Source organism: Homo sapiens, chromosome 6, assembly GCF_000001405.40.
Source record: "Homo sapiens chromosome 6, GRCh38.p14 Primary Assembly".
Lineage (NCBI taxonomy): Eukaryota > Metazoa > Chordata > Mammalia > Primates > Hominidae > Homo > Homo sapiens.
Genome location: NC_000006.12, coordinates 46,362,042 through 46,388,355, shown reverse-complemented (window position 1 = coordinate 46,388,355; position 26,314 = coordinate 46,362,042). Strand labels below are relative to the sequence as shown.

The 26,314-nt window shown below is 39.4% G+C and overlaps 1 protein-coding gene and 1 long non-coding RNA gene across 5 annotated transcripts in view, besides 1 other annotated feature; one reads left to right on the top strand and one right to left on the bottom strand.

Moving 5' to 3' along the window:
* Positions 1 to 26,314, top strand: part of RCAN2 (regulator of calcineurin 2) — a 271,235-nt gene that overhangs the window by 103,615 nt on the left and 141,306 nt on the right. The gene's annotated exons all lie outside the window — the stretch shown is intronic.
* Positions 11,374 to 11,423: an enhancer, noted in NCBI's record as "active region_24651". NCBI's record gives its function as "activates an Ori minimal core promoter by ATAC-STARR-seq in GM12878 lymphoblastoid cells {active_cell/tissue: GM12878}" and the evidence as "EXISTENCE:reporter gene assay evidence [ECO:0000049][PMID:35858748]".
* LOC101926915 (uncharacterized) overlaps positions 22,848 to 26,314 on the bottom strand; it is an 89,185-nt gene continuing 85,718 nt past the window's right edge. Inside the window, exon 4 of the long non-coding RNA NR_125838.1 lies at positions 22,848 to 26,089. This is a non-coding gene — a long non-coding RNA (uncharacterized LOC101926915). The remainder of the gene's footprint in view (positions 26,090 to 26,314) is intronic.

Sequence of the window (26,314 nt, the reverse complement as noted above, 5' to 3'; positions counted from 1 at the left end):
CCCACCAACAGTGTAAAAGTGTTCATATTTCACCACAGCCTCGCTGACATCTGTTGTTTCTTTTTTTTAAAATTTATTTATTTTATTATTATTATTATTATTTATTATACTTCAAGTTCTAGGGTACATGTGCACAACGTGCAGGTTTGTTACATATGTATACATGTGCCATGTTGGTGTGCTACACCCATTAACTCGTCATTTACATTGGGTATATCTCCTAATGCTTTCCCTCCCCCCTACCCCCACCCCACAACAGGCCCCAGCGTGTGATGTTCCCCTTCCTGGGTCCAAGTGTTCTCATTGTTCAATTCCCACCTATGAGTGAGAACGTGCGGTGTTTGGTTTTTTGTTCTTGTGATAGTTTGCTGAGAATGATGGTTTCCAGCTTCATCCATGTCCCTACAAAGGACATGAACTCATCCTTTTTTATGGCTGCATAGTATTCCATGGTTTATATGTGCCACATTTTCTTAATCCAGTCTATCATTGATGGACATTTGGGTTGGTTCCAAGTCTTTGCCATTGTGAACAGTGCCACAATAAACATACGTGTGCATATGTCTTTATAGCAGCATGATTTATAATCCTTTGGGTATATACCCAATAATGGGATCGCTGGGTCAAATGGTATTTCTAGTTCTACATCCTTGAGGAATCGCCACACTGTCTTCCACAATGGTTGAACTAGTTTACAGTCCCATCAACAGTGTAAAAGTGTTCCTATTTCTCCACATCCTCTCCAGCACCTGTTGTTTCCTGACTTTTTAATGATCACCATTCTAACTGGTGTGAGATGGTATCTCATTGTGGTTTTCATATGCATTTCTCTGATGGCCAGTGGTGATGAGCATTTTTTCATGTGTCTGTTGGCTGCATAAATGTCATCTTTTGAGAAGTGTCTGTTCATATCCTTCACCCACTTTTTGATGGGGTTGTTTGTTTTTTTCTTGTACATTTGTTTGAGTTCTTTGTAGATTCTGGATATTAGCCCTTTGTCAGATGAGTAGATTGCAAAAATTTTCTCCCATTCTGTAGGTTGCCCGTTCACTCTGATGGTAGTTTCTTTTGCTGTGCAGAAGCTCTTTAGTTTAATTAGATCCTATTTGTCAATTTTGGCTTTTGTTGCCATTGCTTTTGGTGTTTTAGACATGAAATCCTTGCCCATGCCTGTGTCCTGAATGGTATTGCCTAAGTTTTTTTCTAGGGTTTTTATGGTTTTAGGTCTAACATTTAAGTCTTTAGTCCATCTTGAATTAATTTTTGTATAAGGTGTAAGGAAGGGATCCAGTTTCAACTTTCTACATATGGCTAGCCCGTTTTCTCAGCACCATTTATTAAATAGGGAATCCTTTCCACATTTCTTGTTTTTGTCAGGTTTGTCAAAGATCAGATGGTTGTAGATGTGTGGTATTATTTCTAAGGGCTCTGTTCTGTTCCATTGGTCTATATCTCTGTTTTGGTACCAGTACCATGCTGTTTTGGTTACTGTGGCCTTGTAGTATAGTTTGAAGTCAGGTAGCGTGATGCCTCCAGGTTTGTTCTTTTGGCTTAGGATTGTCTTGGCAATGTGGGCTCTTTTATGGTTCCATATGAACTTTAAAATAGTTTTTTCCAATTCTGTGAAGAAAGTCATTGGTAGCTTAACTGTTGTTTCTTGAGTTTTTAATAATCCATTGACTGGCATGATAGCGTGAGATGGTATCTCATTAGTTTTTAGTTTAGTTTTTTTTTTTTTTTTTTTTGTGAGACAGAGTTTTGCTCTTGTCACCCAGGCTGGGGTACAGTGGCGCGATCTCGGCTCACTGCAACCTCCACCTCCCTAGTTCAAGCAATTCTCCTGCCTCAGCCTCCCGAGTAGCTGGGATTACAAGCACACACCACCACACCTGGCTAATTTTTTTTTTTTTTGTATTTTTAGTAGAGACGGGGTTTTGCCATGTTGGCCAGGCTTGTCTCAAACTCCTGACCTCAGGTGATTCACTCGCCTTGGCCTCTCAGAGTGCTGGGATTACAGGTGTGAGCCACCGCACCCGGCCTCCTTGTGGTTTTGATTTGCATTTCTCTAATGATCAGTGATGTTGAGCTTTTTTTCATGTTTGTTGGCCGCATAACTGTCGTCTTTTGAGAAGTGTCTGTTCATATCCTTTGTCCACTTTTTGATGGGGTGTTTGTCTTTTTCTAGTAAATTTATTTAAGTTCCTTGTAAATTCTGGATATTAGACCTTTGTCAGAAGGGTAGATTGCAAAAATGTTCTCCCGTTCTCTAGGTTGCCTGCTCGACTGATGATAGTTTCTTTTGCTGTGCGGAAGCTCTTTAGTTTAATTAGATCCCATTTGTCAATTTTTGCATGTGTTGCAATTGCTTTTGGCATTTTCATCATGAAATCTTTGCCCATGCCTATGTCCTGAATGGTATTGGCTAGGTTTTCTTCTAGGATTTTTATGGTTTTGGGTTTTATATTTAAGTCTTTTTTTTTTTTTTTTTTTTTTTTGAGAGAGAGAGAGTCTTGTTTTGCTGCCCAGGCTGGAGTGCAATGGCATGATCTTGGCTCACTGCAACTTCTGCCTCCCAGGTTCAAACGATTCTCATGCCTCAGCCTCCTGAGTAGCTGGGATTATAGGCATGCGCCACCATGCCCTGCTAATTTTTGTATTTTTAGTAGAAACAGGGTTTCACCATGTTGGCCAGGCTGGTCTCGAACTCCTGACCTCAAGTGATCTGCCCACCTCGGCCTCCCAAAGTGCTGGGATTACAGGCATGAGCCACTGTGCCCAGCCCTACATTTAAGTCTTTAATCCATCTTGAGTTAATTTTTGTATAAGGTGTAAGAAAAGGGTCCAGTTTCGGTTTTCTGCTTATGGCTAGCCCGTTTTCCCAGCACCATTTATTAAATAGGGAAACGTTTCCCCATTGCTTGTTTTTAGGTTTTGCATTTCAGCTTCTTACTAATCATGCTCTGCCCCTTCTAGCCTGAATAGTATTTATAGTGATAGAAAAGATGCAAATTTGGAGCAGGGCAGTGGTGCCTTGTCTACTGTGTGCAGTTCCTTGGTGTATTGTAGAATGCTGCTAATTCTCTGTTTGGCTACTGAATGCTCTCCTTGCAGATTTGTGCCTCTCCTGTATTTTCCTTGGGTTGGAGTCATCCTCCTGTATTTGATATACTTTAAAATGGTTTGAAGCAAAGTGGTTAGTGGAAAGAACATAAGCTTTGAAATCACAGAGACTTAAAGGTTCCTTTTATGATTTTAGAAAATTTTAGTTTGGAAAATTTCAAACATATGCAAAGTAAACAGAGTAAGTATAATGAGCCCCTAGTAGCCATCACCCTTGTCCAGCACTAATCAACATTCTGCCATTCTTGTTTCAGTCCTAATTCCAGTCCCTCCTCATTTCCCCTGGATTATTTTTTCAGTGCTTTAAATTCATTTATTTATAATGTACCTACATGGTGATGCACTATCTTAAGTGTGTGATTTTGACGAATGTATATATCCATTTGCCTCACACTCCTTTCGCCATAGAGAACATTTCCATTTCTCCAGAAAAGTCCCTTGTATCACTTCCCAAGCAGTCTGCTTCTCCCTCTGGATGCAAGCATGGTTTTGACTTATGTCACCTTAGATAAGTTTGACCTGTTTTAGCATTTCTTGTAAATGTAATCATACAATATGTCCTATTTTTGTGCAAGGCTCCATTTGTTCAGCATTTTAGCTTTGAATTTCTCCTCTTGGTATCCATCTGTTGTTGGCTGAGACTTAGCCTCTTTAACCCCAGTTCCCTTCTCTAGAAAATGGAAAAATAATAGCAATAAAAATTAACAAAAATTACATTGGCCTTAGGATAATAGGAATGTCCTCTCTAATACAAACAAATGCTAATTATGTTGTACTTGAGATGCAGGAATATGAACACCTTCAAAATTTACTTTTTGTCCGGAAAGATATTCCATGTTTGCTAGTGTTCTACTGATAATCCTTGTTTTGAAATGTGATGCTTGAATATGTATAATATATTGGTCAAGGTCCAGTCAGGAAAACAGATCTTATACCAGGTAGTTCAATAGAAGGGATTTAACACTGGAAATTAATTAAAAGCTGCTAGAAGAGCTGAGAAGTCAAACAGGCAATGGCGAAGCAGATGAGGGATTAACAATGCAGGAAGTCACCCATACCCCTAATACTAAAGGAGAGTGGGGAAAAGGTGCTGTTCCCAGAGCCCAGCAGTGAGGTCCACCAATGGGCCCTGGAACCTCATAGGAGGCTGCTGGCAACAGAAAGGAGATGCAGCTACTGCGCGGGATCCCTCCTGGCTGGGTGGGGGAGTATGTAGAGATGAACCCTGTTTTTCCTTTTGTCCTGCTATTGTATCCACTGTCCAGAGAGGCGGGGAAGCAGCAGCAGGAGTCAGTAATCCCTGGTACAGGGCAGAGGAGGGGAAGGCAGGGCCCAGTGAGAAAATGATCAGCAGAAAAAAAAGAAGCATATACAGAGACAGTTAAGAAAATTGAATTCAATAATACTTAGCATTTGAGATAATTCTTACCTTCCAGAATAGTACTGCCCATCAGAACTTTCTGTGATAATTAAAATGTTCTATATCTTTGCCATCCGGTAAGATTGGCCAGTAGCCACATGTGGCAACTGAGCACTAGCAATATGGCCAGTGTAACTGAGAAACTAAATTTTTAAATGGTATTTTATTTTAATTAATTTAAATTTAAATAAAGCTAGTGCCATATTGCACAATGCAGCTTATAGAAAATCATCCTTTAATTCATATATATTTTTAATATACATTCCTTGGGCACTTAGAATAACACATGAGAAGCTGAGACTATCCAGATGACTAGAATTATGCTTCTAACCTTTAATATTCATATCTTTCTTGCCCAACAAGAAAGATTTGAAAAGTGGTATCACAAGAACTATTTGTTTTCACAGATATAAAGTCTGGGTAAAAAGGAAGCAAAAAATTACCTACCTCTGAGTCTTCGCCTAAGCTGTTCCTGACTCCCAGATACGCTTCCTCCTCCACTTCTTTCATTCCACTCATGCAAATTCTATTCATTCTTCAAGGCGTACTTCAAATGCCTCCTCCTCCACTAAGCCTTCTCTGGTTGCCTCTCCTACCATACACACGTACACACACACACACACACACACACACACACACACACACACTACCCAGGCTGCACGAATCTTTTCCTTCCTTTGAACTCTCCTGATGTTTTATCTCTACTCTTATCACTTTTATTACTTTGTACTTCATGTTCAAGTTCCTGATAGAAATTCATTTGTCTCTCCTACTAGACGCCTTGAGGGAAGATTTTAGGATGGTTCTGTCCTTTGCCCACACAGCACTTAGCACCAAATATTGTGTATAATAGGTTCTTTGTACTATTTGAAGATCATGCTGAGCAATGAGTCTTCCATTTCTGTGCCTGTAACTATCGGTAGGTGAGCAATTCAAGGACACCATTCAAAGAGAAAGGTTTATTTTTCCCAGGCTACATGTTTCCAGGAAGCAATTGTAATAAGCAAACAAACCGGTTTTCTGTTTCCATTCCATATGCGGGTATTCTTTTCATCCACATTTAAAATATTTCTTGATCTAATATTCTAGAGCTAGACTAATTTCTGTGTAATCTTATTATTCTTAAACATAGTTAAAAACACAAGATGGCTATAGCAGTATTTAAATTAAATTATGCATTGGAGCGCTTTTATTATTAGAACCATCCTAAATATGCAATGTGGTGTTGTTGTTCTTTCTTGTTTTTTAACTCACCTGGAGTTTGTTTTGCTGAATTTGTACAGTTTGCCTGTGTGCTGTTACATTTGCCTGAGTTCAGTGGAGTACAAACTGTTTTCATTTTCCTGGGAATTGTGATTTTTTTCTAGTATTCAAAGAGGAATATTTTTGTCCCAGCATAGCTTTCTAAGGGTTCTAGGACTTAGCTGTATGTAGTTTCCATTACCTACAGAGTAGCTGGAAGATGAGCAGCACATTTCAATTGAGAGCTCTTATTACGTACAAGGTACTGACCTAGGTAGTGTTTTGGATACCTAACAAAGAATATAATTTAATATTCCCGATAACCTTATGAGAAAAGAACTATTAGTATTCCCATTGTATAGGTGTGCAAATCATAGCATACAGAAGTTAAGTGAATTATCCAAAATGTAAATAACTCTTGGAAGACAAGAGGGAATCCTAATCCCCAGACAATCTAATGCCCAGCTCTCCCTTATCCTTAGCCATCTCACTCTACTGCTCCACATTAGCATATCAGAATTGGAAATCATGAAAAGGAAGGGTGCATTATGTTGCTTAGGGGCTAGTTTTTCTATTTCCAGGCAGCTCCTTGTGTTCTGAGAATGATGGCACTTCTAAGGGCTTTTGATCTATCGACATATTGGAAACCACAGGCCTGGGTGAATATAAGCCATGGACTCTGGAGAGCAGTTTACCTTGTAGGCCAGTTCTTCCAGCCAGAAGCCCTTGAAGACCTGGCTTTACCAGATAAGATTTTTTAAAATGCCAAAAAAGGGCTTGAGTAGGACAGCTCTATGCTGTCACCTCTGGTCCGAGGTGAGCAGGTAGAACAGGATGCCGTGACCTCAGCTAAAAGTTAAGCACTGGACTGTGGCCAAGGCAGAAAGGAGAATTCTTATATGGACTGAGCCTTTCCTGAGAGACTTATTTTTTCCAATAGTAATAGTAGCACTATAAGAAGCTAAGTGTGAATAAAGAGCTCTTTGTCTGGGGGAACGAGAACGCCTAGTAGGATTACTGTGTGAGGGCTTGATACCCTGAAACACAACTCAGCTTATATTTCTCTTCCCTACCTGGGCTTGTAAAAGGCGATATAGCTCATCTCCTGTTCATTCTCAGTAGATTTGTATATTGTCACATGTGTCCTCAGTTTATAGAATCTGATTTCAGAAACTGGCAAAATAAGCAGTGGATAAGAGAACCGAGCCACAGGAGCAGTGCTTATAACTGGAAGCTGATGCCCAGAGAGGATAAAGTGACTTGCCCAAGGTTGCATGGGGCAGAGGTGGGATCTTTCCATTGTATTATCTGCCTCCCTGGATTGTTTACTTTGCCATTCATAGCACAGAAGTCCAAACAGCAGAACATGTAATCTGTCTTTCAGCATTGTTTGAAATCTTTTCTGAAATGAGATGGGGGAGGGAATATGAAAATGCACTTATAAATATACTTCACGGAATGTGTCAGTCTTTTGCACATTGTCATGTTTTAATGTGATCTGATTGAAAATATGACTCTGGGTCTCCCAGAGACAGGAAACCTGAATTAGATGGCATTGTAAGTTTATTTTTCTTATATTGCTTTTCCAGGCACAGATGTAGCATTTTACATTTTCAATTTGTTTACTTTCTGTATCACATAGCACTGATCTGCTGATTAACTTTTGTTCCATTTAACAATGGTGTTATTTTATCCTTATTTTATCCTTATTTTAAAATAGTATATACACATTATAGTTATCTATCAATCTTTTTTACATGCGTTATCTCTTTACATCTACATAATTATCCTACCAAACTAAAAGGGCAGGTAGAATTATCCCCATTTTGCAGATTGGAAATCAAAATAATAAAAGATTATGTGTCATAGCTGGTTAACTAGGACTCAGGTTTCTTTAGTCCTAGACCAGTGTTTATGCTTGAACTCCTCCAGGAGTGGTTCTTAACCTGCTGTGGGTTTCAGAATCCCCTGCAGAGCTTGCTAAACACAGACAAATTGCTGGCTCTGCCTCCAGAGTTTCTGAATCAGTAAATCTGGGGTAGGGGCCTAGAACTTGCTTTACTCACCTGTTCCCTGGTGTTCCTGATGCTGCCTGTCAGAGGACACACTTTGAGAACTACTGATCTAAAACTTTGCTCTAGCATCTTTAAACATTTGGCAGGTAATCAATCCCTTATCTGCACTACTGAAATCCAAAAATCTCTGGAAACTGAACTTTTTTTCACTGAAGGTTGGCACAAACTCATTTGGCAGCAAAGCCTGACCTGAACTGAGGTGAGACTATTTATAGTCTTTATCCCTTGGTGTGACTGTTCCTACAGTTTGCTGCAGAAATGTTAATGTGTTGTGTTATAGGGGTTTCCCCAGACCTTTCTGAGGGGGGTGTGTTTTATAACAGGCACACTGTAATTCCTTACAGAATCTGAAAAACCCTGAGATCTAAAGCATATCTAATGCCAAAGACTTCAGATAAGGGGCTGCAAATTTGTGCTAACCTAGCCAACAGGAAAAGTTTTTTGCTTTTGATGCTGCAAAAAACCTCACCATTTTTAGATAGCCACCAGAGTATACACATTTGAACTTGATATATGCCTCTTGAGACATCTTTTTGGAAGGTTTTTCTAAAGCTTCTGTCCTTTAGCTGCAGAAATGATGCTTCATGCTGAACTGCAAGAGAAAGCATTGAGCCATCCTTCCCAGTGAGCTGGGCAAATCCCAACGACACAGTGATCTGAAAGGAGTATTTCCTGATGCTTACACTTAGTAGGCATGCCATCAATAACGACATTCACACCCTTAACCACACTTTCTCTAAAGGTTGGATTCTCTACCTAGGAAGGAGATGTCATTAAGGCTGCAGAGTCGGGTAACGAGGAACAGAGAAGAGAGCTTAGTATTTTTATTTAATAATGAATCAGGCTTAAATCATGAGATGATTGTTCAAATCCCCCAAACATCATTTCATTTAAATGAGAATGGTTTTTAGAGCTATTGCAAAACCATCAAAAGCATATTCATCAGGAAACACTAACATATTGTAACTGGATTACATGAAATTGCCCGGGCTAAAATGAGTTACAGAGAAAATATATTTTAAAAACCTTCCCAATTCATTTATCTGGAGCATATAATTTTGTGTTCTATTCCTAGGACTGTTGACGTTCATTGCCACTGAGCTGATGTGGCTGTGTTCCTTAGCCGTGCTTTCAAAACCCTCTCTCTCCTGGGTGATGCAGGAGAGACCCAGAGCAGTTAATCATTTTCAGAGACTGGCATCTCATGTCCACAGAGTGACTTGCCTGGAAGTAGCCTTTCCTCCCCAGCAGCAAAGAGGCTCTTTGTTTCTTACATTGCAGGGCCCAGCAGGTTTGATGTACCCACATAATTGGCAAACTACCTTCACCCTCTAGGAGACCTAATTCTCACAGTTTTATAATTCTTACTCACCTGCCTCCTATTTTATAGATCCATAGACACTCCTCAACTAGAGCCAGAACTAATTTGATTGATGAGTCATATCAAACTTAAAAAGCTTCTTGTGTCCTCATTTGGCTACAGTACTCTGGGAGTCCTATTTTGCACAATAGGCCACTGTTCCTATTCAAGTGATTTGATTCAATGTGCATGTTAGGTTCAGAACCCTCTAGATTGACCAAAAGTATAATCTATTCAGTTTTCCAAAAAGAGTAACTCTCTAGTCCATCAGTATCACAAGCCAATTAGTTTGCCAAATATCTCCTCAAACTTTATGCCAACATTGTTCTAAAGAAACTTCTGTTCTGGGTTTAGTGTCTTTAATGAGAAGCAAGAAGGTCACAGATACTCTAGAGTATCTGTTTAACGGGCTGCTACAGCAGCATCAGTTTGCATACTCCATAACCCTAGGAGCAGCCTGCTCCATGTGACTAACCCCCCTGAGGCTTGTGCAGTGTACAACCTGCACAACTGAATATGGCAGCTCTTTTTAATGTCTCACATATTGTAAATAAATATTCCAAGAATACAGGATTTGTTGGACCATCATCACCTTCAAACTTCCCAAGATGTATGGGATTTACATAAATCCAGCCTATTAATACTCTGGTAAATCCTGAATTTCTCTCTGGACAGGATCACTATACCAGAAGACCAGATCTCAAGCTCACACAGTAGAATGATGAGACTAATAGCACCTACCATCTTTTGAGTGATTTAGACATTGGACCAGGTATTCATAAGCTTTGCTAAGCAGTCTCTAGCTCAAGTTGAGTAACATTTTACTCAAATTACTCAAACTGAGTAATGTTTTCTAAGCTGTCTTTCATCACATTCTATTTTCTTTCTCGTATTTATCCACTCATAAGAAGCCATTTATAAATGACAAGCCTTGACTATTTACCAACAAATCATGAGACCCATGGCATCTGTGAGGCAAGTCTCAGCCTCCCTGAACTGGCACCACGATTAGCAAATGAATGGCCATCAGCTTAATTGCAAGAAATTAGCTAATCAATCAGCGAATATTTAGTTAGTGCCTACTATGTACAGCTGTTATGACAGGGCTTGTGGATACAGGTAATTATGGAAGTAGCTGACATTTTTGGGGTGCTCATGCATTATATTTGTAGTGACCTTTTAATCCTACAAGATCCTACAACAAGTTTATTAGGTCACTGGCATTGTATCTATTATGTAGAAAATTGTGGTATGGAGCGGATATCATAACCCAAGGTGATATAATTAACAAGTGTTTCATGTGGGTTTGAACTCAGGTCTTTCTGACTCCAAATTTCATGCTCTGAATTAGTACCCCTCCCTTTCTTTCCTCCCTGACTTCCTGAACTTGTCAAAATTTAGCCTCCATCTTTATAACTTGTACCAGAGAGGACTGATACAATTTTAAATAAAGTAGATGCAAATGCTTCATAACAAGCAGGAAGTAAGGTTCTCATTTATGCCACCTAAATAGTATTGATAGGGCAAATTGGGAGTGACCTCAACAGGCAATCTCTTCTGTTAGCCAGTGTCTGCCAGAAAAAGACAGCTGCACCCTTGGCTTCGAGGGTCTTCTTCAATTGGTTAATGATAAATAACGCTGTACACCAAGTCTCTTTAGTTTTTTACTTGGGGCTACGTTTCACAGCTGACTGACCCTGGTAGTTCCACTGGGAATTACGTGACTCCGTTTAGTCACGTAAGAAAGTGCCATGGAAATTTCCCTGCTGCCAGGATGGGGCACTGCCCACACCCGTTTTCCAAGTTAAAGTAGTTTCTGCTAGGCTCTTTGGAGGAGGTCTCTAAGGTCTGAATTACTTTCTTGAACCAGGGCTTGAAGCCCATCCAGGCTTCCCCTTGGGCATACCAGCGACTTTAGAAGTAGGTTACCTTGAGCATCCAGCTGGGGGAGACTGTGTTTTGCCCCCACCCACTTTCAGAAGAGAATGTCCATTCCACCACCCCGGCATAACCATGGGTATATCCTAAGTTCTGTTTTTGTTTCAAGTTAGGGCTCCAGAAGGCAACATTTAAGTGCCTTTTTTTCCTCATGAAATTGCTTTTGACATTTTCCAACTTATTCTGAGATAAAGCCTTATAAAATTACATCTCTTTTTTGGCCAGTATAAACAGCCATGGAGGGCAGTGTTTAATCTGTCACCAAATGCCCTATCTACACTTCCACATGAGCAACTGCTTTTAAAACTTAATACAGCTGTGGGGGAGGGGGTGCGGGGCGGGGGGAAGTGAAAACTGAAACAAAACTTTGCCTCTGTTACAGATGTAGCCCACTTCCTCCTTTCTGATAAATAAGACCTGGTCATTGTCCTCTTTCCCTTTTTGCTCTGAGTGGAGGCCCAGAGCCTACCGTGTTTTTTTTTTTTGTTTGTTTGTTTGGTTTTTTTTGAGGTGGAGTCTCACTCTGTCCTGTCACCCAGGCTGGTGTGCAGCCACAGTGGCGTGATCTCCTCGGCTCACTGCAACCTCCACCTCCCAGGTTCAAGCGATTCTTCTGCCTCAGCCTCCCGAGTAGCTGGGACTATAGGTGCACACCACCACACCTGACTAATTTTTGTATTTTTAGTAGAGACGGGGTTTTACCATATTGACCAGGCTGGTCTCGAACTCCTGGCATCGTGATCCACTCACCTTGGCCTCCCAAAGTGCTGGGATTACAGGCGTGAGCCACAGAGCCCACTCTTAATGATGGCATCAGTTGTTGTGGTCAGCTCGCCCCAACTTTTATGGTTTTAGTTCTTCAATTTGATTTTGTTATCAACACTCTAGGTTTTGCAAAGAGGCAAGGGATAGATTTTCATTATTAAATAAATACTTACTGAGGATTGTGTGCCAGGCATTACATAGCAGAAGTTGGGGAGGGCTGTGATGTTCTTGTGGAGCTGAGTTAGACACAGGATCACAGCAAATCATGATCTGGAGAGCTCATAAATAATAACAATCAGAGCTGACTGCGTTGTGTACCTTGTCTGGAATATAACCAACAAGAAAGGAAGGAGCAGGGAATCACCTCTGAGAGGAATTGATACCTATTCCAGGGAAAATGGTGTTTGAGTTGGACATTGAAGAATGGAAAGGAACTCAGAGATGCGTTGAAAAGAAAGACATCAGAGGAAGCATGTATAGTGTCATAGAACAGAGATTGGCAAACTGTGGCCCATTGTGTATGGTCTAGGAGCTAAGATTGGTTTTTATATTTTTAAGTGATTGGGAAAAATCAGAAGAAGTACATTTAATAACATATGAAAATTCTATGAAATTCAGATTTCTGTTTCTATAAATAAAGTTTTATTGGAACAGAGCCACACTCATTCTTTTATATATTGTCCATGGTTGCTTCTGCACTACCATGACAAAGTTGAATCGTTCGACAGAGACGGTATGGCCTACAAAGCCTAAAATATTTACTCCCTGGCTCTTTATGGCAAAAGTTTGCTGATCCCTGACATAGAAGCATAAATATGGAGGATTGTTTTCCTGGAATGACAAATTGGCTGATGCAGTTAGTATGTGGGGCAGAGAAAAATTTCAGAAAGATAAACTAGGGCCACATTCAAGAAGGTTTTTAAAAGCTTGTTGATCTTTTGGACTTTAGTTTAAAGTAAGAGTTGCCATTGAAGAATTCTGAACAGGGGAAAGATGTGATCATGGGGAATACCATGATCATATCTGTGTCTGGGAGGAGAAGTCTAAATGCTGCAAGAGGGTAGGATTTGAAGAGGAGGCCAAGCATAAGTGATAAATGTGGGGAGAATATTTCTCAACTAGCTTTATTTTGCAAGTAACCATTTGGGAATCTTTATGGAACCTCATGAATTGAACTTCACACTGCGAGTTGCCCAGGCATGGTGGTTCACACCTGTAATCCCAGCACTTTGGGAGGCCAAGGCAGGCAGATCACTTGAGGTGAGGAGTTCAAGATCAGCCTGGCCAACATGGTGAAACCCCGTCTCTACTAAACATACAGAAATTAGCTAGGCATGCTGGTGGCTACTGGGCTGCTGGCTGTAATGCCGGCTACTGGGCTGCTGGCTGTAATGCCAGCTACTGGGAAGACTGAGGTAGGAGAATTGCTTGAACCCGGGAGGCAGAGGTTGCAGTGAGCCGAGATCATGTCACTGCACTCCAGCTTGGGCGACGGAGCAAGACACCATTTCAAAAACAATAAATACATAAACAAATAAATAAATAAATAGCTGTGAGTTAACAGAAGTGGATTTTTTTTTCTTTTGCCAGCAAAGGTGTTTTCTTTTATCGTTCTGTAACTGAGCTATTTGAAAAACATGCATTGCATTTCTATGGCTTCCAAATTGTATGCTTACAAATATGGTTTGATAAAGAAAATCCTGGACTGTGTAGAGCAAACAGAGGCAGGCTTGATGAATTTATGTTTAAAATAGGCTGAAATTTTCAGATTGGTTTTGTTTATTTTCATTGTCAAATTTAGGCCTCTTTACAGTATTACACCCGTGGAATCTAGAAATCACTTTTTATCAAATTTTAGATCCATAGGGCTACAAATGGTTAAGCGTTGCCATCAGCCTCATATTTTAACCATTCATTTGTGCAAAAAATATCAAGCATCAAGCATCACAATGGCAATATAATTATACTACGTTCTGTGGAAGAGAATTCTAAGGAAATATAAAAAATGATTTTCTGTTTGAGAGCTGGAGCAACATGTATGAAATGTTAAAATAATAGTGTAAAATAAAAGATGATTGTGCATCATAGAAATTCAGAGAAAGGAGCAATTAGGGAGGCCTGAGATGGATTCTAGGAAGATTGAAGGATTTGTTTAGCATGAAAAGCCAGGAGAAAGTATTCTGGTAGGAGGTATTGCATGTGAAAAATAAAAGGAGTTTTGATATAATAGGTACTGGGTGAACTGCAGAAGATTTTGGAGTATTCACATAACCAATAATTTAGTAGATGTGTTCTGTGGACTAAGCACTGTGCTATACCATGGAGAAATCAAGATAAGTAAGACATTGTCCCTACCCTCACGGAGTGGGACTGTAAAGCCTTCAAGGGGAAACAAGCAATTAAGTAATTACAATTTACATTAAATTCTATAATTCAGGCAGCCTCAAAGTGCTGGGTTGACATGGTAGAAGTAGAATCTTAGGGATGTTGTGATGACATCTGTTGGCTAGAACATTAGGGGATAGATTATTCCTGTCAAGACTTCCCCTAAAACATCCAAGACTGCCCTGGGGTTGGTTCTAAGGGGAAGGGAGTGGGAGATAGGAGTAGGGGTGGTGGAGAAAGAGAGAGACAGAGATAGAGACTGATTCATCTTCTCATACGTCAAAAGTCTCAGTCAAAAAGTTCTTCCTGAAGACTCTGTTATGTTTGCTACTGTCCCTAGGTACCTATCTCCCTTGTTTGTGTCTTACCAGATAAGTAACACATCACCATCTTCATTGATTACTTATTTAAAGATAAGGAAAAAATGTGGGAACAAAGTAGTGATACATTTTCCCCTGCTTAAGGACTTGTTAATTTTTACTTTATGAAAAATAGTCTGGGCATGGTGGCTCACACCTGTAATCCCAACACTTTAGGAGGCCTAGGTGGGCAGATCACTTGTGCCCAGGAGTTTGAGACCAGCCTGGCCAACATAGTGAAACCCTAAAAATACAAAAAATTAGCTAGGCGTGGTAGTGCATGACTGTAATCCCCGCTACTCAGGAGGCTGAGCCATGAGAATCACTGGAACCTGGGCGGTGGAGGTTGCAGTGAGCCAAGATTGCGCCACTGCACACCAGCCTGGGCAACAGAGCGAGGCTCTGTCTCAAAAAATAAAAATAAATAAAACCAAAATACTAACCTAATAAAAGAAGGAGATTCTCACATTTATGTTTCTTGACCCCGTAGCTTTAGTTTACCTGCCAGCAACTGAACTTATAATAAAACAACAAAAATTAATTAACAGTAATTTCTTAGAAACCCAAAGAAAGCAACCTTCATGAAAAAACACTAAATTGTCTGGCTCCCTCACTGTAGCTTACTGCTAGGATGTGTTGGTAACTCTGAAAACATACAGAGGAAATACTGGTCTAACAGTAAGATGCTGGTCCCAGCTCCTATATTCACTACGAATGTCATTTGAGACAAGGAATTTCCTTTGTCTGAGACTCATTTTCCTTTGACTTCATGATCTCTAATTCTCCTTCCAGATCTGAAATACCATTTAGTTTTTATTTTCCTGTAACATGTTCTTGGGGAGAATACTATTTTCCTTATTTTACAACCCAGACTTCTGATAGTTAAATGGGAAGTTGTTTTCTTGGCTGGAAAATGACCAGGGAAATTCTGGGGCAGGTTTTGCTCCAGGACTTCTCTTATAGGTGTGACTAGACCAAATCCTTTGCATCATTTTTCAGATGTGAATATCCAAAAATAATTGACAAGGGCACTTTCTGGACTATCATATCTCAAATAATTCTGAGCACTTAGCAATTTATATAATGTGTGTCACCTAGAGATATTGCCTAGGAAAAGGAATCCTTTAGAATTTCTGACTTTGCAGTAGAGGACCAATTGGAGAAGAAGAGGAGTCCCTGAGCTGGTCTTGGTTTATGTCCACAACTCTTAGTTTGGGGACTGTGACAGCCCATGGTTAAGAGCACAAGCTGCCAAGCGACATGCTTGTGTTTACAGGTAATCTTGGGCAACATGCTTCCACCTCTAAGCTTTAATTTTCTTGTCTATAAATTGGAGAAATAATACCTAGCTCATAGAATTATTGCAATGCTTAAATTAAATAATAGAATGCATTTCAATGTGTAACACAGAACCTAGTACAAATGAAGTGCTCAATAAAAAATAGGTGCTTCTGCTGTTGTGACAGTGCTGGGAAATACGATTGTTGCTGTCATGTACTAGTCATCAGCCTTTTGTCTTTTCCATGGTTAATAAGAAACACCATGAGCATGCCATCTGGAAGATAATTCTTCCTTTAGTTATATTCCATGTAGTTCCTTTAAATTAATTTTGAATTAGAGTCCAAAGGGGTCTCTGTCCAACCCTGGTTCTGGGCCATGCATATGATGGTTCAGCCCATTTGGTTTCTGTTCAACACATATTTAAAAACATGTTTATTGAACATCTGTGCTCTGTTCCCCATTTATGAAATTCAAATGATCAACAAGAGATCTCCATGTCAGACTAAAATGTTATTTGTACAAGAACTGTGGTTATAAAAAGAGGAACAACTTTAAACATGGCAACTGTACTGGGCATTGTTGGTTGCCCACCCTTCGATCTCCTTTCTTCCTAAGAAAGCCCCATTTTTGTAGGTGTATCCACTTTCCCATATTCAATTCATTGACACATGAAAGCTGACTCCATCTTGATCTCCATCTAGGCCTGATTAGTGGAACAGTAATCCTCTCTCTTGTCAGTGATTGGCTGACTATGGGCATCTAGCCTTCAAGTCCTGTAAACAAAACAGTCTACATGTTCAAACCAGTTTTAGTAGAGTATTCTGTTATTTGAAGCCAAGACTATCCTGACACCCTCACTTAGCATGAATCAATTCTGTTTATAAATGTAATGGAGTTTTTCACTCCACTTTCTTATTCCTCTACAAGTTGCTCATGATGTTGGGTGGTAAATGGCTATGAATAGAGCTGGCCTAGAGATACCATGAGATATGATGGCGGAAGCCTGACCCAGAGGCATAGGCATGGCCAGCAGCCCTGTGCTCATGCTTCCCAAGTGTCACATGAAAGATATTAAGGGATGTGACTTAAAATCTTATGTAATTTAGGACAAGAAAGATTAAAAAAATATACCATTTTTTAGTGGGAATTCTGCCTCTCTCTACCCCTCTACTCACCGTTGAGGAGGTAAAGTGACATCTGATTGGTAAATCTGGGGGGAAAGGCTGGTCTCAACTTGCATATGTTCCTTTATATCTTTAGTTATAATTAATCCCTAGCCTTTAAGTCATAGGTCCTTTGAGAAGGTGATGAAAGCTATGGGTCCTCTCCCTCGAAAAATGTACATACATACTATACAATGTCAGTGTATGCACTGTCCCCTTCTACTCCCCAAATCTACCCACATAATTTATAGATCCACATATCTCAGGTTAAAAGCTCTGAGTTAAATCCCCAGAAGCTAGCTCACTAAATAGTGTAAATTGAGGAAGAAGGAAGCCTGCACAGGACAGGAATGTGATGCTGAAGGTGACTTCTAGTGGTGCCCTGGGGAAGGACATCCAATGAGGAGTATACACTATGCAGTGGGTCTGAGGAAACCACAAAGGTGAAAGGTCAGGACATCTATTAGTCAGGATTCCAGCAGGGAACGAAACCCTTCAGGTCTAAGCAAAGAGGCTTTAATGAAGAGATCACACACTGAAATGCAGGCAGGGTTAAGACAGCAAACCAGAGTAGAGTGTCAGTGCATTCAGAGACTGGCAACAGTGGAAAGGTATAACTGCCTGTAGGGCCAAAGGAGGAAGGAGAATAAATAGTGTCACTAGGCCTAGTAAGAGCTTGGATATCTACCGGGAGGAAGCAGAAGTCACACGGAAATGCAAAACTACCTCCAACTCTTTCTTTCCCTGTCTACTGATCTGCTGGTGACTCCCATTTGCTGAATTTAACTGGAAGTCAGAATACATGGGAGCTGGGGTCAGGGAGGGAGGTGCATTCCATAGGGGCAGCTTCCTGGGACACAGAGCAAGACACAGAAGGGTAGAGAATGAATATAGGATGCAAGCGGAGAATAACCAGAACAAGGGATCAGGCAAAACTGAAGAAATGAACAAGGGAAGGAGTCTGAATGATGCACGTGGGTGTTAAGGAGGCCTGGCAGGGGCTTAGTCAAGGGTACAGATGACTTAGATGTGTATTCAGGACCAAGTCCAGAAGGAGAGTGATTTGAATGTGGAAGAATGAAGACCTAACTGGGCAGGGAATTCAGACTAGAACTCACCAGAGAGGAGTTCTCTAAACTTCTGAGTAGCCAGGTAGAAACCAAGCCCCGGATGGTCAGTTAAGAGCTGTTAACCACAGACCTGAGACCTGCCCCCTGTGCCGTTAGACTGTTTTCCTGTGGAAGGGCCAAGCAGAGCCAAAGCAGTGTCCTCCAAGCCCTCCTGATTGCTTGCTATGAGGCTGTGGAACACCCTACCCTCTAAGGGTTCTAAGTGTTGGTCCTTCTTTTTGGTTTGGAAAGATGGCAGACTGGAAGAAGTGAAGGGAAAGGCCATTGGAAAAGTGATTAGCTGCTCTTGTCGTTAGGAAATAAAAGATTCATAGTTTTGTTTTCCAATTTTAATCTCTAAAGCATGAATGATTTAAAACTACGTCTAAGAGCTGGGTTTCATTTCAGCGACTTAATCACTTTTCTGATTCATTGCTATCATTAGAAGCATGTCTTCTCTAAGCCTTAAACATATACGTGAAATTGCAATTGCAAATGTTGCAAACTAGTACAGTCATGTGCTCCATAATGACATTTTAGTCATTGATGGACCACATGTATGACGGTGGTCCCATAAGATTATAATGGAACAGAAAAATTTCTGTTACCTAGTGATGTGGTAGCCATCCTAACGTTGTGATGCAAGGTATTACTCACGTTTGTGGTGATGCTAGTATAAACAAACATATTATACTGTCAGTCATATAAAAGTCTAGCACATACAATTATGTACAGTACATAATACTTTATAATGCTAATAAATGACTATGTTACCAGTTTACTATAGTATACTTTATTGTTGCTTTAGAGTGCACTCTTATTACCTATTTTTTTAAAAAAGTTAACGGTAAAACAGCCTCAGGCAGGTCCTTCAGGAGGTATTCCAGAAGGCATTGTCATTATAGGAGATGACAGTGCCATGTCTCTTACTGCCCTTGAAGACCTTCCAGTGGGACGAGATGTGGAGGTGGAAGACAGTGATATTGATGATTCTGACACTGTGAGACCTAGGCTAATGTGTGTTTGTGTCTTAGTTTTTAGCTAAAAATTTCAATAGTAAAAAAAATAACAATTTAAAAAACATAAAAAGCTTATAAAATAAGGGTATAAAGAAAGAAAATACTTTTGTACAATTGTATAATGTGTGTTCTAAGCTAAGAGTTATTACAGAAAAGTTAAAAACTATTTGAAAATTTTAAAGTTTATAACATTAAAAAGTTACAGTAAGTGAAGGTTAATTTGTTATTGAAGGAAAAATATTTTAAAATACATTTAGTGTAGCCTACATGTACAGTATTTATAAAGTCTACTTTATAAAGTGAATGTTCTAGGCCTTCACATTCACTCGCCACTCACTCCCTGACTCGTACAGGGCAACTCCCAGCCCTAAAAGCTCCATTCCTGTAAGTGTTCTCTACAGGTGCACCACTTTTTATTTTTTATGCTGTATTTTTAGTGTACCTTTTCTATGTGTAGATATGTTTACATACAAAAATGTGTATTATTGTGTTACAATTGCCTACAGTATTCAGTAGAGTAACATGCCACACAGGTTTGTAGCTTAGAGCAATAAGCTATACCATATAGCTTAGATATGTAGTAGGCTATACCATCTAGGTTTGTGTAAGTACACTCTATGATGCTCATACAATAACAAAATTGCCTATTTCTCAGGACATACCCTGTCATTAAGCAATGCATGACTGTATGCTTAATGCTGGTGGGGAAAGGGGTGTGTATTTTTTGTTTGAGCAGAGCTATCGTATGGAGCTTGAAAGCTCAGCATCCAGAGTCAAGTTGCCCAGGCATATGATACCAGAAAGGTGGTAGAGTGCAACAGTAAAGCACACAGAGCTATCATCATTCTAACATTTTAAAACTGAAACACAATAGGCACTTTGCAGAAAAGTATGTCTAAGAAGTAAACTCTGGCCAACTGCCTGTTTTTGTACATAAAGCTTGATTGGAACATGGAATCACCAATTCATTTACATGTTGTTTATGTATGCCTTCACCCTATAAAGGCAAAGTTGAGTAGTTGCCATAGAGACAATATGCTCCACAAAGCCCAAAATAGTTACTATCTGGCCCTTCACAGAAAATGCCTGCCAACTTTGGCTCTAGACTGGAAGCTAAACAGCTCCTAAATGATATAGCTGGCCATTATATATAATTTAGAGCAGAGAGTAGAGACAAGTTTGTTGGAGCCAGTTGAATTGAAGAGGAATTAGGAGAATGCAAGCCACAGTACAATTTTTTAAAATTATAGTTTCCCTCATGTGTATTTCAAAATGCTATAATTAATTGCCATCTATGTAAACAAAAATGGGAAATTAAACATAGCGTTTAAAGAAAAGTAGAAAAGTAAAACATCAGCATGTGTGTAATTTATTTTCCTAATCTTGTAATCTGAGATTATATGTGTTTCAAAGATAAGAAAAATTAAATCAGAAAGAAAAATCCCTATGCTTAGTTTAAAAGATGATGTGTAAAATACATCATCCATTACCCTTGATAAGACAGCAGTCTGAAAAAGAAAATAAAAGAATGACTCTCCATCTTGACTGAAAATAATGGGTCAGCATAATTAAATGATCTAACTTGATCTTGAACTGACATTTCAAATTTGTCTTCATCAGCCAAGCCTTTGAAGTTCCACAGGGGCATAATTTTAATACTGGGACTTTCAAGAGCTTTCTAAATAGGTCAACATCTTTTATAATCTTCAGGCCGTCACTGGATATTTAGGATATTTGTTGGGAAGAGCAGGTGTTCTTTTGAACCTCCTCCTTTGAAAAACAAAAACAAAAAGCAAACAGTAATTCCACCTGATGGTATATTATGACAAGCCTAGAATTATCAACGGCTTGTGAAGAAAAAGAACCAAATAGAATGCACCCTTGACAGTACATTCAGTCAAGACTTTTCCACTTCTTAAGCCACCCTTAAGCCAATATTAATTTACATGTTGAGATGGTAGCTTCTCTCCAACTGGGACACCCCCTTGTGTTATAAACAGAAGTCCCCTTGCATGTTCCATTTAAATTTGTATGTAATTTTATAATTGTTGGACCATCAGCTAGGATATATATATATATATATATATATATATATATCCATCCCAGATAACTGAAAATAAAATAAAAAAGAAAGCCTTCAAGTGGGTGGGGAGTTGGGCTAGTGTTAAGGAAAAATATATTTGTGTATTTGTGATGCTTACAAAAGACAGTAAGAACGACTTTATTCAAGGGGCTACTATCCTTGTAGGTACAAGGACTACTGCAGTGATGTCTTGCAGTAGGGTAGAGAGATCAGGCTCAACTTTGAATATACCATGGGCAAGTGGGAATTTCTACCCAAGGAGAAGGGTAGGGGTCATTGATGGAACATCTGAGATATGAGGAAATTCTAGCTAAACTGGCCTACCAGGATTCCTGCTGAAGTCAGGCCAGGTGATCAGACATCCCTGGGTTGGGGGGTGGTGTGATGGAGGATGAGAAGCCAGATTAGATATCAAAGGTGATGAGATATAAAGGACGACACATTCAAAAACCAACTTAGCAGAATTCTTGCTAAACAGGTCAATGCAGAGAAGAACATGAAAGTCCGAAAATCAAGGCCTAATTGAAAAGTTTTGGGAAGCCTGAGTAGAGTTTGGACAAGGAGAGAATCCTTGTCACTGGAAATAAGGAACTGAATGGAAAAGTGAGAGTTAGAGTATGGCCAGTGATCTTTGGAATTTTTGCCTGGAGGGGCCTCAGAGAAATGGCCTCTTCTTACAGTGTCAGGAAGATGCCTGGATACTTCAGGCAACCTGAGTTTAGAATTTTTGCCTGGGGAGACATTTGAAAAGGTCTTGCACTTCACCAAGTTCAGAGTACATGAAAGTGGGATTTATTTCGAGTTGGGAATGAAAGAGGAAGAAAGCAAGAAAGGAAAGTGGGCTTCTTAGGGTAGTAGTCAAAGGTACAAATTGAGAAGTAACCACGCTGTATTGGTTCTGGGTGATTGCTTTGGCTGTAGGAAATAGTAGTTACAATCCCAGACCTTGAATCAAGCAACTTGAATTCAAATCCTGGCCTCACACATTCTAGCTGTATAATCTTGAGCAACTTACTTAAGCCTCCCTGCACCTCATTTCCTCATCCATAAACTGGGGACAGTAATAGTACCTACCTGGGTCAGTTGTTCTGAAGATTAAGCCAAATAATGCAAGTAGAGCACCTAGCTAGCATAATGCCCAACACAAAGAAAGTCACCAATAATGTTAGCCATTATTATTTAAGATGCGTTATATATAGCCTGTCCTATGGAATTCCTAAACTATAGTCAATTAATTGTTTGCTCATCAAATAACTAGCTAAGAGCAAGATACCTGATGATTTACAATAAAAGAGGGGAAATGAGGAATTATCAAATATGTTGAGCTTTAAGTATAAAATTTGAGACTATAAAATGAGATCTTAAATGCTTAGATAAGGAAATAGATCATTAGAAGAAATTGACAATTTCCTGTTGAAGGATAGCAATATTTTGTCATATACCTTATAGCAGCCGTCTCCAAACTTTTTGGCACCAGGGACTGGTTTTGTGGAAGACAATTTCTCTTTTTTTTCTTTTTTTCTTTTTCTTTTTCTTTTCTTTTCTTTTCTTTTCTTTTTTGAGATGGAGTTTCGCTCTTGTTGCCCAGGCTAGTGTGCAATGGCATGATCTCGGCTCACCGCAAACTCCACCTCCCAGATTCAAGCGATTCTCTCACCTCAGCCTCCCGAGTAGCTGGGGTTACAGGTGCCCACCACCACGCCCAGCTAATTGTTGTATTTTTAGTAGAGACAGGGTTTCACCATGTTGGCCAGGCTGGTCTCAAACTCCTGACCTCAGGTGATCCACCCGCCTTGACCTCCCAAAGTGCTGGGATTATAGGTGTGAGCCACCGTGCCTAGCTAGAAGACAATTTTTCTACAGATGGGGTGAGGGGGATGGTTTTGGGATAATTCAAGTGCATTACATTTATCATGTACTTTATATTATTATTACATTGGGGAAAAATAAGCTGGGCAGAGGGATAGGAAGTATCAAAGTGCGATTAGGGCTGCAGTTTTAGGAAGGGTAGCCAGGGAAGTCTTCATGAAGGTGATAGTTGAGTAAAGACTTGAGATAAAGGGAGCCATTTATGTTGGTACTTGGAGAAAGAGCATTCCAGGTAGAGGGAACAGGCTGGTGAGTACCTGGCTGGTTCAAAGGACAGCAAAGAAGCCAGTGTGGCTGGTGCAAAGTGAGCGAGAGGGAGAATGTTAGGAGACAAGGGCATTTCTTCCAGGAACCTTGGCATGCCAAGGACTCCAGGGAATGTGGGGCCTTCCTTTCCTCTGAAGGTTAGCAGTTTGGGGAGCAGTTGGTGATAGCACCCTTTGCTGGGGTACCAGAACTTTCAGGGTGGGCACCAACAGTCAGCATCCTCCAGGTGGATGAGAGGAAAAGAGAAAGCACATAGCATGCATGATGTTGCAAAGACTAAATGATGAATTTGTGAGACGACCCCTAGGGTCTCAGGCCAAGCTGTGTGAGGCTAAGCAGGCAGCTCAGTCTCCGCGTAAGCACATGGAAACAAGAGTCTGTGGAGTGTGGGTTACTCAGTTACCCACAGGCTAGGTAGTATTGGAGAACTTGGAGATATGTCAGATTATGCAACTTACTGATAACCCTGCCTAATAATTTTAATAATCAGCTTGCCTTTCCAAGCCTTTTCCCTTTTCTGATCAGTGTACTTTTGGAAGTGATATTGAAAGGGCCAAGCCAAGTCTGGGTTTTTATCTACCATCACAATAAAACCAAGGAGGAAATTTACATTTTGAATGTAAATTGAAAATGTGATCTGCTTTCCCATGTCATACCTTTGTTCCCCACCCCTTTATTTAGTTCTCTCTAAAGGTTAGCCAACATAAAGAGATTTATGGGACAACTCTATATATTGCACGGAAGAATTGGGAAGCACTTTGAAATGAGCCAAAATGATGATTGGGTGTCTTAGTGAACACTGGGGTTGTGGAACACACCCTTTCAGGTCATCTGTAGAAACAGATAGGGTCTCTAGGTTTTTCATCGTCTTTGAGCGATTTAAGATTCAGTGAATTTTTTTCTGGTGCAAATTCAATTTGTATTCCTACCCTACTATGGAAGAAGCAAGTTTTGCATGCATTAACCAAATTTATTTCAGTATTCCTAATGGCTTATATATATGTATGCTCTTTGGATTCTCCTTTAACCTGGCTTTAACATCTTACTGGTTGCCTTATTAATTAATGAGTTGAATAAAGCCTAGCATTTTTTTTATTTGCATGAGAATCATTATTTTACTTTTTAAAAATTATCACCTTTCAGTCATACTTTATAGTTATACCTCTATAAACTAAATGATAGAGGTAATCCCCAACGATAAGAAACGAATGCCAAAATTAAATACAGTAATTTTTCTGCTGTGCTAAGTAATTCATTTCATTTCTTTTGTTTCAGGGCTGAGCTCCTAGATGCTTTCATAATTAAGAACAGGTTATAAATAATAAATTATAAGTCATGCTCATCTTTTCAGCTAAATTCCTATTCATGTCTTTAGAATTTTTTCTTTCCTACTTACTGTTATTTACTACCCTAGTTTCTTGCTGTGAGCCTGGTTTAGCTTTTCTCTTTTTTTGTAAGAAAAAAAATACATTTTTAAAGTGAAATTTATTTAATTGAAAATTTGAAGATTAGAAATGATGTCTCTTTCCAAAGTCCCCAAAGATACCAGGTGGCTCAAGTATCATACATTGTCCTCCAGCTTGGTGCTCAGCTAAATTATACTATGCACATATGAGAAACCTAGAAATGTAATCATGATACACACAAGACAAGAAAGCCAAATGAAACAGCCCAATCAGACATGTAGTGTTCTTCAATACTCTTTGAAATTAAATGATGAATTATTCATTTCTGCACCAGAAAAGGTGATGGCTTGCACAGCAGTTTGAGTTTCCTACTTATTCCCACTTTATGCTTCTGGATTTCTTTTTCTGAAGATTTAATTATTCTATTATTTCAAAAGGCATAATTCTTATTTCAAAAGGCATAATTCTTAGTGCATGCCACTAAGTAGGAGTCCAACTTCCTGTTAAAAAGTCCAATTTAAAAAGTTAATTTTAATAATTTCTGCACAATACAGGTACCAGGTATAATAAACGGTAGTTCAAAATCTGCATATCATTAATGCTTCATCCCCTGATAAGAGGAATGAGCTAAAGCAGGTTTCACTGGGTTTTCCATGGGTATGCAGGAGCCTAGGATGCCTGGATACATTTGAAAATATGTATTTTTCCATCAACAATGAAAATGCATATGAAGGAATTGCTGCAAAGTAACTTGTCTTCTCTCTGTGATCATTAAGAAAATATCGGCTGGGTCCATGTGTCATCATCCTGACTTTCCTTAGGTTATTTGGACTTTCCCTCTGGAAACCAAGTTACAGTTAAAGAAGGAAAAACTATAAAATGGGAATACAGAACCATGACAGAATCAGTTTTGTAGTGTAATGCAGGCTCTAATAAAAGAAATGATCAACTTTCTGTATAATGAGTTTGTGAAGATATAAGGTTGCCACCCCTTGAGGATTTGTTTGGTTTGTCATCCCATTGACTAACATTTTCTTATAGGGAATGTGTAGATTACCTTATAATACCTTATATTATATATACCAATATATAATATGTTATATCCTTATATTATACCTCCAATACCTCATATTACCTTATAATCTTACAGCATCTACAATTTGCAGAAAATTCTAGCTGATTCATTCATTTCTCTTAAACGACATCCAAACTGTTTGAATTCACTCCCCTTGAGTGGGAAAAAGAAAAAGACGATATTTTTTTCCCTACTTAAATATAAAGTCATTAGTCACTTAGGTTCCAGAAGTGGGGTGACACATCTATAGCATGTATATCGTGACTACCCTAAGTTGGGTCTTCCCAATCATGATCTTGTTTTATTCTAGACCTCAGAATCCTTCTAAACACACTAGTTTATATGAATTTATCAAAGTCAGTTTGTGAAATGAAACTT